Source organism: Homo sapiens, chromosome 11 (assembly GCF_000001405.40).
Source record: "Homo sapiens chromosome 11, GRCh38.p14 Primary Assembly".
NCBI classification, from domain to species: domain Eukaryota; kingdom Metazoa; phylum Chordata; class Mammalia; order Primates; family Hominidae; genus Homo; species Homo sapiens.
In genome coordinates, this window is record NC_000011.10 from 128086580 (window position 1) to 128100243 (window position 13664).

The window sequence follows — 13664 nt, forward strand, 5'->3', positions numbered from 1 at the left end:
GACAACAGGAGGCTGTGGCTGCCAGCCGAGTCCCGGGAGAAGTGGGACAACTGAGCTGGAATCTCTTGCTGAGCCCTGTCCAGGAAAGGGCCATTGTGACTGTGGCCTCTGTTGGGAATATGGCACCAGTATTGGTCTGCTCTGGGGCTCATGTCTTGTAGTTTCTTTTGGATTGGAGAGTTTCTCTTGCAAAACATCCAGGTAGCTCTCTGTCTCAGTCTAGAAACATGTTGGGTGAGTGTAAAGGGGCCAAGAGGATTCTCCCATTCTCAGTCTTGCACAGGTCCCTGTGAAGAGTGTGAATCCCCCAGGAGGCTCTCACTCACTCACCCTTTCCCATGTTGTAGGAGTTCTCCTGACTTCATGCTGAACCCAGACAGGCTGGTGTCTACCTCTACTCCTGTCTGCTCTCTGTGTCCCCCTGCTGCCTTGATGAATCCCAACATGATTTCTCAGATGATCAGCCTGCAAGGTCAAGGTTCACTACCCATTTTGTTTTCTCTCTATGAAAGTAGCTCACGTGAGCTGCTTCTAGTCTGCCGTATTGGCCCATCCCTCAAGTATTTTCTTTTATGATTAATGTTATTTCTGTCATCTATGGACCTGGCATTTACATTTAGAACTACACTCTATTTCAAATTGACTTTTGTATATGGAGTGAGTTCAGGATTACAATTTTTATTTTTACAAATGAAAATACAGTCCTTCCGTAAAATATGGTAAAAATAATTTTCTTTCTTTATTGAGTTGACAACTTTGTCGAAAACCAATTAGATATAAATATGAAGCTTTATTTCTGGACTCTTTATTCAATTCCAGTGATCCATTTATGTAATATTGCACCAATACTACCAATAGTAACTGTGTCTTCGTTACTATGGCATTATATTGAATTGAAAATAAGATAAAGTTCTTCAAAGTTGTTCTTTCGACCTTCAAGATTATTCTGTTCTTATATATGCTTTGAATTCCTAAATAAATTATAAGTTTTCTTATCAAAATGCTAGTATTGGCTGGGTGCAGAGCTTCATGGCTGTAATTCTAGCACTTTGGTAGGCCTAAGGGGGCAGATCATTTGAGGTCAGGAGTTTGAGACCAGCCTGGCCAACGTGGTGAAACCCCATTGGCTCTACTAAAAACTACAAAAATTAGCTGGGTCTGGTGGCGGGTGCCTGTAATCCTAGCTACTTGGGAGGCTGAGGCGCTAGAATCACTTGAACTCAGGAGGCAGAGGTTGCAGGGAGCCAAGATCACACCATGGCACTCCAGCCTGGGTAACACTCCATCTAAAAAAAAAAGTAGTATTTTTTATTAGAATGGTGTTAAATCAATCAATATGTGCATTCTACATTATGTACCTCTTGATAATACTGTCTTCTGACCTATGAACATGATATATCAATCCACTTATATATGTCTTCTTTTATTTCTCTCAGCACTATTTTATTTTTCACCTCTTGCATGTGTTTTAAGGACTTTTTTTGGTATTAAATTTTTATGCTGATGTAAATAGAATTGCTGTTTAAAAATTCATTTTCCAATTGTTGGTTGTTGGGTGTCTTAGGGGTTTTTTGTGCTACTACAGTGGAATGCCTGAGGCTGGATAATTTATAAAATCATAATTTTTAATATAGTTCTGAAGCCTGAGAAGTCCATAATCAAGATGCCAGTATGCTTAGTGTCTAGTGAGGGCTGTTATCTCTGCTTTCAGGATGGTACCTTGTTACTGTGTCCTCTGGAGGTGAGAAAAACTGAGTCTTTAAATAGCAGAGGGACAAAAAGGAATGAACTCCCTTCACGAAGCCCTCTTATAACAGTTTTAATTTATTCATGAAGGTGTGGCACTCATGACTTAACTACCTCCCAAAAGGCCATACTATTTAATACTGTTACATTGGAGAGTTTTTTCAAGAGATGAATTTTGAATTATAAGGGACACATTCATACTATGGCATTCTTTCCCTGCCCTCCCCCACTAATGTCCTTCTCACGTGCAATGCACCTTCACTTTATCCAAATAGCCTCAAAAGTCTGTACTTGTTCCAACATCAACTCAAAAGTCTAAAATCCAGATTTCCATCTAAGTAAGTCAGAAATGGGTGAGACTCAAGGAACAATTCATCCAGAGGCAAATTTCTCTTAAACTGTGGGCCTGTGAAATGAGCAAGTTATGTACTTCTAAATACAATGGTGATACAGGCATAGAATAGACATTCCTGTTCCAAAAGGAATAAATAGGTAAGAAGGAAGAGGTAGCAGGTCCCAACTAAGTTTAAAACCTAACAGGGATAACAACATTAAATGATAAGGCTAGAGAATAGTCTTTTTGAACTCCATGTCCCACCAAGAGGACACACATGGGTGGGGATGCTCCCCTCCCCTACAGCTTCACTGACTGCAGCCCATGCCACAGCTCTCAGAGATAGTTAGGTGTCTACAGTCCTCCCAGGCAGGAGTTGCATGTTGGTGGCTCTATAGTTAACAGGCCTTGGGGATAGTTCTGACCCCACAGTTCTTCTGGACATTGTCCTAGCATGGACTGTATTTGGAGCCCCCACCTCTGCTATATAGTTCTCTGCCTCAGGAAGGCTGTCTGAGATATTCTTTGAAGTGTAAGTAGAGGCAGCCATACTTCCACAGCTTGTGTGCTCTGCATTCCACATAGATGATGCCAAAGTTTAAGGCATGTGCCCTTAAGTCACATCTCAAGTCACACCTAGGCCCACCTGCACCACAGCTAGGGTGGCCAAGAAGTAATACACTGGAATACAGAGAACAGAGAGCTAAGGTATCACAAGCACCCTAGGAACCTCTCCCCAAACTATTCTGACCCCAAGGTGAGGGAACTCTGGGCCTGTGATGCGCATGGCAGCCTGGAAGATCTTTCAAATGCCTTTAAGTTCATTCTACTACTTTCGTTATGAATAGTACATGGCTTTCTTCTATTTATACTAATCTTTTTATAAAATGATCTCATGTCTACATCCTTGATTTCCTTTCCTAAGCACACATTTTTTTTTCTTTACATGGCCAGGCTAATTTTCCAAATCTTTACAATCTGCTTCTCTTTTAATTATAAATTTTATCTTTAAATTATTTATTCCTTCTTCCCTTTTACTATAAGCAGTTGAAAGAAGCCATGCAGCATCTTAAGTGCTTTGTTGTTTAGATATTTTGCTGACAAATACACTAGTTAATCACTCTTCAGTTCTTCCTTCCACAGGGTCCTAGGTCACATATAATTCAACCAAGCTCATTGCCCCTTTTTAACAAGGATGGTTGTATCTCCAGTTTCCAATACCTTGTTCCTCATTTCCACCTAAGATCTCATCAGAATAGCCTTTACTCTCCATATTTCTACCAACATTCTTTTCATGACCACTTAAATAATGTCTAAAAAGGCAAGTTTTTCCCTATATCTCTCCTCTTCTTCTGAGCCCTTGTCAGAATTGTTCTTAATGCTCTGCTCATGGTAATACAAGCTTTTTTCTGCATGAATTTCAAAACAGTTTCACCTTCTACCCATTAACTGTTTCCAAAGCCGTTTTTATATTTTTAGGTATTTGCCATAGCAACACCCCACTCCTGGAACCAAGTTCTTTCTATGTTTTGTGATAATAAAACAGAGTACCTAAGATTAAATCATTTATAAAACCAGGAATTTATTTTCTCATAGATCTGGAGGCTGGAAAGTCCAAGATCAAAGTGTTAGTAGGTTCAATGTCTGGCAAGGGCTATTCTTTCTGCCTTCAAGTCAGTAGGATTTATAGTGATATCTCTCTTAATTACTAATATTTGTGGTCCATCTTTTCTCTTTTTCAGTTTGAGGATTTTATCAGTTTTGTTGGTGAACCAACTTTTGACTGTTGACTTTCTTCATTATTTTCTATTTTGTTGAATTTTGTCACCTTTTTATTATTATTTTTATCTCTACTACTTATTTTGGCTTTATTTGCTGTTTCTTCTCTTCCTCCTCATCTTTTTCCTTCTCCTTATCCTGCACCTCCTTCCCCTTCTTCTTTTTTCATTTTGTCTAATCTTCTTAACATGAAGGCTCTGAAAAGGGATTTTAAATATTTATTTTTAACCAAATATAAGAACTTAAGCCTACAATTTTTTGTTTACAATGTTTTACCTGCATTTCAAAAATTTTGACATTTTGTGTTTTTATTATCATTCTATTCAAAAGAAGGATTTCTTTTGGACTGATGAATTATTTTAATAATATGCTGCTTGATTTTTAAGGATTTACGTATTTTTTTTAAATCTTGTTATTGGTTTTCTCTTTAATACTGCCACAGTCAGAGAACATACTCAATAATTTCAGTCTTTTGAAATGTATTAGTATGTATTTTATGACCTAGTACATGGCCTATCATGGTGAACACTGCATGAAAACTTTCAAATAATGTGGATTTTGCAGTTTTCTGTAATGTTTTACTCATTTCAATTAGATTGAATTGATTGATAATATTTTTTCAACTCTTCTGTATATTTCCTGATATTTTTCTACTTTTATAACAAGTAGTTGTTAAAATCTTCATACATAATTGCATATATTTTATGTGTCCTTTTAATTCATTTGTTTATATATTTAAACAGTTATTTTGTTTATATATACTTATGAATGTTATAGTTCTTAATGACATATCCTTTTTTTAATTTTTGGTAATGTTCTTTGCCTTAAAATTTACCCTTCCTAATGTGAATATAGCTATAATTACTTTGTTTTTAGTTTAGTATATATAGTATATCTGTTTCCACCCTTATATTTTTAGTCTGACTACATTTGTATTTAAAGTGTGGATGTTATAAGCAGTTATCAAGCTGGATCCTGCTTTTGTATCCAGTTGGATACATTGTGTTCTTTCCTTGGAATGTAAATTAGAACAATATGGAAGTAATTTTATTTAAAAAATTTCCTTTAATTATTGATGTGACTTTTGTTAGTATCATCAGTTTCTTGTTTCTCTCTTATTCCTTTTGTGACCCTTTTGTTTTCTGTGGCTTTTGGGTATTTGGTTCTTCTATTGAATTTTTCTTTCTGTTCCTGATGTTATTTTTAGTGCTTTCTCAATAGAGTCATTATGCATCTTTACATTATCAATATATACCTTCACATGTTATATTACTTCACAAAAATCTTTCATCAGCATAATTCCTCCCTCATATTGTATTTTGAAATATAAAATTTTCTTTTTATATTTCTGCATCTGCATTATATATGTTTTCTTACACACCTTCTATAATTTTTATTGTTTTCTCATTAGCCTGCTTTTCTAGTGCTGTTTTCTTTATGATCTAAAAGTTATTAGGAGAGTAGGATTTCAGTTTGGTTTTGGTTTTTGTTGTTCATTGTTTCCTTTTAGCTTGAATTTATTGTGGACAGAGAAGGTAACCATATTACTTACTTTGGGAATTATATACATATTTTTAATTGACTATCCACATTTTGTAAATGTTCTATGAAGGCTTGAGAAAATGTGAATATTTATTTTAGGTACAATATGTTCATCTGTGCCTTTCAAGTATATTAAATTTATGAGAACCCTATAGTGGCTTACGTATCTTAGGTCAACAGTACTAATTTTAATGAAAAAAAAACTATTCTCCTTAATTTCTATATTGATTCCAATTTTTGTTAAATTATTATCAAATATTAGTAAATAGACATATCCATAGAGAAGTAAAACACTATTTTAAAATATGTTTTCACCTAATTAATTATTCTATAATATGGTTGTTTTTTCTTTGTTTATTGATAGCTATTACCAAAAGACTGAGATTATGCGTACTAACAAAATATAATGCATGGTATCCATAATTTACATAATTCCTAAACCTTTAATACAAAAAGAGAGAAAAAAATTAGAAAGAAGTAAAATCAATACAAATATTGTATTTTAAGGACATAATATATTTAATTATCAGTGCTATCAACTAACAAATCATAGGCACTTTGAGAGAAAAAGTTAATGTAACATGTTGCAATATAAAACTACCACTATAATTGCATAGTTCTGGTTCTTTCTCTAGGAACTTTGAGTGCCTCTGTAGACCACACAAAGTTAAAATAAGGATATTAAATAAACCTCCTTATACACAAAAATCTCATAATTCAAATGACTAAATCTAAGAGTTTATCTCAAACCATTTCTATCAGTACTTTACATACCTGATGTGACAAGGAATTAATGTGTGTGCTCTGTTACAATTATAATTTAACCAATTTTTATATCTATATTTTGTCATTATATATGTTAGCCGTCATTGAGAACATATAGGTTTATGACCACTATATTTTACTATATCTTAAAGGTATATTATAATATTTAATACAAAATGAATTGTGGAAAATGACTCTAGAGAAACAAAGTTTTAAGGATAAGTTTTCTGAGTTGGTTCTGTGGTTTCTCTGAATTTGTTCTCTAATCTGATTAGACTTAAATATGCTAATTACTCCATTTCCAGTAGTAAAAGGAGGACTAATAGTCCATTGAATAAGCTATTTATAGAGAAACAATATGTTTGTGGTAAGTACTCTTTATCACTCAGTTATGAGAAACAAAGAGCTAGGTGATTCTGTAGATGACACTTTCAAAGATTTCTTGATTAAGACCCCAAAAGCTCAGGCAACTAAAACAAAACGGCACAAATGGGATCCCATCAAACTAAAAAGCTTTTGCACAGCAAAGAAAATACTCAACAAAGGGATGAGACAACTTACATAATGAGAGAAAATACTTGCAAACTATTCAATTAATAAGAGATTAATAATCAGAATATATAAGAAACTCAGCTCAGCAACAATGATAAATGATCTGATGAAAAATATGCAAAAGATCTGAATAGATATTTATCAAAGGAAGACATGTAAGGGACTGATAGGTAAATGAAAACGTACTCAACATCACTAATCATCAGAGAAATGTAAATAAAAATCACAATAAAATATTCTCTTACCCAAATTAAAATGGTTTTTATCAATAAGATGAAAAATAACAAATGCTGGTGAGCTGAGATGAAAGAGGAACACTCGTACACTGTTGGTAGAAATGTAAATTAGAACAGTATGGAGGTAATTTTATTAAAAAAAGGTTTAATGAACTCACAGTTTCACATGGCTCAGGAGGCCTCACAATCATGGCGGAAGGTGAAAGAGGAGCAAAGGCACATCTTACATGTTGGTAGGCAAGAGAGCTTGTGCAGGGGCACTCCCGTTTATAAAACCATCAGATGTCTTGAGACTTATTCACTACCACAAGAACAGTACAGGGGAAACCACCCCCATGAATCAATTATCTCCACCTGGCCCCACCCTTGACCTTTGGGTATTATTACACTTTAAGGTGAGATGTGGGTGAGGACACAGCCAAACTGAATCAGAGCTTCTAGTTTTAAGTGGTGTCCAGAACAAGAGAAGGCCCTGCAGCAAGTCCAGCCTGCTGTGAGAGCTATTCTGCCACTTGGGCTATATAATTCAGCACATCCTATGGTGTCAAAGTATCAACTGCAGATAGGGATATTGTTTGGAGACTTTGGCAGGACCCTATAAAGAAACCATAGTGCAAGACTTGAGGATTTTGGAGTAAGGTTATGCTGTCATTCACAGATAACTACTCTCCCTCTGAGAGTCAGCTCTTGGCCAGCTATTGAGCCTTTATAGAGACTGAATGGCTGACCATGAACCACCATGTTATCATATGTCCTGAGCTGCTCATCATGAATTGGTGGCTACCTGACCCACAAAGCCATAAAGTTGAGAGTACATAGCAACACTCGTCCATCAAATGGATGTGACTGGGGCTAAGCAGGTCCTGAAGGCACAGGTAAGTGACATTAAGAAGTGGCCCAAATGCCCATGATCCCCACTCCTGCTACACTTCCTGCTCTCTGCCAGCCTGCAGCTATGAAGTCATTAAAAAATTCCCTATGAGCAGTTGACAGAGGAAGAGAAGACTCAGCCTGGTTTACAGAGGATTCTGCAAAATATGCAGGCATAACACAAAAAGGGACAACTGCACCCCTATAGCCCCTCTCAGGGATATCCCTGAAGGACAGTGGTGAATGAAAATCCTCCCAGTGGACAGAACTTCAACCATTCCACCTGATGATTCACTTTTCTTAGAAAGAGAAATGGCTAGAGAGGTGATTACCTGCCAATTCATGGTCTGTAGCGAGTGTTCTTCTTTTTCTGGATGATCAGAAACTTAGAAAGGACACATGGAAAAATTGGTGACAAAAAATTTGGGGAAGAGAGATGTGGGCACACCTCTATGAATAAGCAAAAAATAATGGATATATTGTATTTCATGTGAATGCTCACCAAAGGGTGAGCTTGGCAGAGAAGGATTTTAACATTAAAGTGGATGGAATGACCCATTGTGTGGATGAATACAAATCAGTCTCTTTCTCCAGCCAACTTTGTCATTTCCCACTGGGCTCAGGAACAAAGAGGCCATGGTAGCAAGGATGGAAGTTACGCATGGGCTCAGAAACATGGACTTCCACTCAACAAGGCTAACCGGACTGTAGAAAACTGAGTGTCTAATCTCCCAATGGCAGAGACCAACACCTGGCTCCTAATATGACACCATTCCCTGGGGTGATTAGCCAACACCTGGTAGCAGGCTGATTGATTACCTTAGAAAACATCTGTCATGAAAGGGGCAGTATTTTGCCCTTCCTGGAATAGATGCTCTGAATATGGATTTGCCTTTCTTGCACACCACAACTACCATCTGTGAACTTAACTCACTGGCTTGTCCATTTTCATAGTCTTCCAGATCACATTGCTTTTGATGAAGGAACTCACTTCACAGCAAGGGAAGTGCAGCAATAGGGCCAGGAACATGAAAATCATTGGTCTTACTATGTTTTCCACCATTCTGAAGCTTCTGGCCTGATACATTGATGGAATTGTCTTTTGAAGACTCAGTTACAGTGCCACCTAGGTGGCAATACCTTGCAGGAATGGTTCTCCAGAAGGCTGTATATGGTCTGAATCAGGGTCAAATATATGATGCTATTTATGTGGTAGCCAGAATTCATGGGTCCAGGAATCAAAGAATGGAAGTGGGAGTGGCATCATTCACTACTGCGCCTAGTGACTCACAAGCAAAATGTTTACTTCCTGTTTCCATGACATTATGCTCTGCTGGCCTAGACGTCTTAGTTCCAGAGGATGGAATGCTTCACCAGGAGACACAAGAATAATTTCCTTGACCTGGGAGTTAAGACTGCCACCCAGCCACCTTGTGCTCTCCATGCTGCTGATTCAACAGGCAAATAAGGAAGTTATGGTGTGGGCTACAGTGATTGATCTGACTAACAAGAGGGAAATTGCTCCACCATGGGGGTGAGGGAGAGTACATCTGGAATACAGAAGTTCCCTTAGGACACCCTTAGTGTTCCCACACATTGCGATTAAGGCCAGTGGAAAACTACAATAACTCAGTTCAGGCGGAACAACTCATGGGGCAGAATCTTCAAGGAATGAAGATTTGAGTCCTTCTACCAGGTAAGGAAACAGGACCAGCTAAGGGAGTTGCTGAAGGCAAGGGTTGTACAGGATAGGAGTAGAAGGTAGTTATAAATACTAGCTACAACTATGTGGCCAGTTCCAGAAATGAGGACTATAATTGTCATGAGTATTATCTCCTAATTTTGTTATGAATATGCTTGTATGTATGTGTATATACATATGTTAAACACTATCTTTGTTATTTATCCTCTTTTGATTTTCCATATCAGGTAACATAAGCTATACTGACTCTTGTATAAGGATTTAAGTATTGTTCATTTTACTTCATAGTATTTAAGTTATGGAACATCAGGAGAAAAATGTCACTCAAGGACTTCATCTCCTTTTCTGAGGAAGACATTACTGTGTATTTGGTAGTATGAAAATTGTTGTATCATGTTAGGTGAAATCACGATGTTATTGTTATCTTTATCTGGAGATTAGGTATGATTTAAGGAGATACATAAGCCAAATTGATAAGAGGTAGATCTGTAATTATTAATTTTATATGCCAACTTGACTGAGCTAAGGGATCCCCAGAAAACTAGTAAAATTTTATTCTGGACACGTATGTGAGGGTGTTTCTGGAAGAGATTAGCACTTGAATGAGTAGACTGTGTTAAGATCATCTGCCTTCACCAGTACAGGTGGGCACCCATATTCAGAAGGACTGAATAGAACAAAAGAGGGGAAGTTTCTTTCTCTGCTTGAGCTGAGACATCCATTTTCTCCTGCCCTTGGACTTTGATGTTCATGGTTCTTGGGTCTTTGAACTCAGACCAGGGCTTATACCAGTGCCTTCCTGGTTTTCAGGCCTTTGGATTTGGGATGGAATTACACCACCAGCTTTCTTGGGCCTCAAGATTACAGAGGAAAAATTATGGGGCTTCTTACCTTCATAATGACATGAGTCAATCCCTTATAATAAATATTCTCCTGTCTCTCTCTCTCCGTGTGTGTGTGTGTGTGTGTGTGTGTGTGTATACAGAAAGAGAAGTCTATACATCTATCTCTACATAGATACATAGATATATATATATAGAGAGAGATACAGATAGAGATAGAGATATCTATTGATTATGTTTCTCTGGAGAACCCTAACACAGAAATATATGGACTTTTTCCTTTTATTTCATTATGGATGCTATTAATTTTACCTACCTTGTTTCCTTTTATGGGTGGCTTTAGATTTTGTTTTCATTTATTTTGCGTCTGTTATAAATAACACACAAATAGATTCCTTTTTAACTCCAAATGGGCCTATGCCTTTCAATTGAGAATTTTTAAAATTAAATTATACTTCTTTTTTTTTTTAACTTGTGGGTACCTTTCATTTTATGTTTCTTTTATGTCTTCCTTTTTTGGAAAAATATCAGATCATTTATAATTAATTTTGCTTTCTACATTCTTTTGATATTTTGAAAGATAGGATGTTGGTTTTTAGAATTCTATCAATGATTGGTTTTAAGATTTTAGAAAATATTTTTAAAGTTCTCATTGCTTTCAATTCGTAAAATATTAAAAGAAATATTTTATTGCATTGACTATGTGAAGAAGTCAGTATACATTCAATTCTTCCTGAATATCTTTTTCAATTTTAGTTACTTTAATCTCTTATTTTACATCTTGCTTATTATTTTTTCATAGGAATAATTTTATTTCAAAAATAATTTTAGACACCTAAATTCCATTTGTGACCATATTAACAACAATTATTTATTATTTGCCTATACCATTTTTTACCATGAGTACTATAGTAGCATAACTTATCCATTCTTGAGTTATTTTTTTTCTTCTCTTATTCAACAGAAATAGTTCTCTGAGCAATTTTTACTTTGAAAGGGAATTGAGTAGAGTACTTTATAAAAATTATTACAAACGAAATTTTCTTCCCTTTAGGAGGAAGGGATCAGTGAACATTTGGTTGTATGGCAATAGTTGTATCATGTTGTGTGGAATTATGATGTTGTTGCTGTCTTTATCTGGAGATTAAGTAGGATTTAAGGAGATATATATGCCAAGTTGACAGGGTGAATCAAAGAACAGAGTTAGTAGAAAAGAATATAGAGTTCCTTTTTTCCATGTTCTCAGTTACATGTGGGCATTCAATTCACCTAGCATTTTTGTGTTTTGTCTTTATACCCAAAGAGTTATGAGTGTAATTACATCACCATTTTCTGAAAGAAAATGCCAAAAGTATGATGTCAGCTGAAATTTTTACCTTTATGAACATATATTTTTTCTACCTGGATTCTTAAAAGATGCTATTCCTATTAAAAATTAACATAAATGCACTAACAAATTTCTATTTCTTTAAATTTGACTTTTAGTTATCTATTTCATTATGAAAACTTAAATTTTTATTTAAATTATAAACATTTTAAATTACTTTTTATTATTTCATACACTATATCTCTTGTACTCACCTCTTTTGAATTTCCAATTTTATGTAAAATATTTAAAAGCACATATACATTGTATATTTTCTCATTATTTTTGTTCTTTTTTTCTGAGGTTTGTGAGAATTTTTTCATTATGCTTATATCATGTATTCAATTTTAATCCAAATATAAACTCCTACTCATTGCCTCAATTACAGTTTTACTTAACAGAAAAGTCATATATTTTTGTCTCTCCTGATGTTAGATTTTTCCTCCTTTATAACTATAGTTAAATTAACAAATTAAAAAACATTTTTAATATGGCTGTATTAGTCCATTTTAAATAACTTCCTGAGACTGGGTGATTTCCAAAGGAGTTTAATTGACTCACAGTTCAGCATGGTTGGGGAGGCCTTAGGAAACTTAGAATCATGGTGGAAAGGGAAGGGGAAGCAAGGCACCTCTTTCACAAGGCAGCAAGGAGGAGAAGTGTCTCCTGAAGGGAGAAGAGCCCCTTATTAAACCAGATCGCATGAGAACTCACTATCATGAGAGCAGCATGGGGGGAACCACCCCTGTGATTCAATTACCTTCACTTGGTCTCTCCCTTGACACCTGGGGATTATGGAAATTATGCAGATTATAGTTCAAGATGAGATTTGGGTGGGGGAAGTAAACCTAGCCATATCAGTGGGTAGGAACATAAATTTTTCCTATTAATGAAGAGCTGTTTCATGGAAAATATTTGTTCTGACTTCACAGACAGATATCATTTTTTTTAACTGCATTGTGTTTTCACAAAATAGTATTTTTTCTCTCCTAATTCTTATAAAGGATTAACTATATTTAAACAGGATTTAGAGTTCAAATTGAGGCGAACATCTCTATTAGGCAGTGTCATGTTCAGATGATACATGCTTAGATGATACTTAACAATTTAAGAACAAAGGTCATGGGCAGATATGCAGGAAAAATAGAGACTTAAAGTGGGGACAATGGGATTAGATGACAAATATCTGTTTTCTAGTTACAGTAGTGTTCTGAAGCCAGTTGAGGTCTGACTGCCTGTTAGTAGCCAGCCTTGGAAATGTCTCATTTTTTAATCTCCCATGGTCATCTATGGGAAGTGGGGTATAAGTGCTGCTGTGTGTAACCTGGCTGGACTGGCCTATGAAACTGTGCCTTTTCCAGAAGTGGCTTTGAGATCCAAATGTAGCATTAGCCCAGTCCCTGCTCCACTTCTTGCTGCTCTGAATTAACATTGATATTAATATACTGATGCGATCTGTCATGTGTATGTCGGGCAAATATTCTTACTTAAGTGGACAGCCAATGATCAGGCTACCTCTTCCACTATAGCATAAGTTACCAGCAAATTTTTTAAAATTCCTAGCATTAGGGTGCTATCTTTTTCTAGTTTTCAGAATAGAGTCTAGAATTTCCCTTTTTTTATATTTTTGGTTACTTTCATGAGAATGATGTACATGGACCTTCAGGTGTATGTGCTCAAGTTTCCATTTTCTCTATATCCTACAGTGTGTTTTTGTTTGTTTTATTGGAAATATTATGTTGCTGCCCTACTTAAAATTCTTCAGTATTTTTCCATTGTCTGGAAGTTAAATTAAAATTATTTAGGAGGGCACTTATAGCCTTTTAAAATCAAATCATTATGCATTTCTGCTACATGGAATCTCATGTTGCTGATCCATGACCTTAAACTCCAGCCTGCAGAGTACTTTGTTTATATTTATCCAGTATCT

At 35.7% G+C, this 13664-nt stretch overlaps 1 long non-coding RNA gene across 1 annotated transcript in view; it reads left to right on the top strand.

Moving 5' to 3' along the window:
* Nucleotides 1-9179: 9179 nt before the first annotated feature.
* LINC02725 (long intergenic non-protein coding RNA 2725) overlaps nt 9180-13664 on the top strand; it is an 87798-nt gene continuing 83313 nt past the window's right edge. The window contains exon 1 of the long non-coding RNA NR_183639.1: nt 9180-9520. This is a non-coding gene — a long non-coding RNA (long intergenic non-protein coding RNA 2725). The remainder of the gene's footprint in view (nt 9521-13664) is intronic.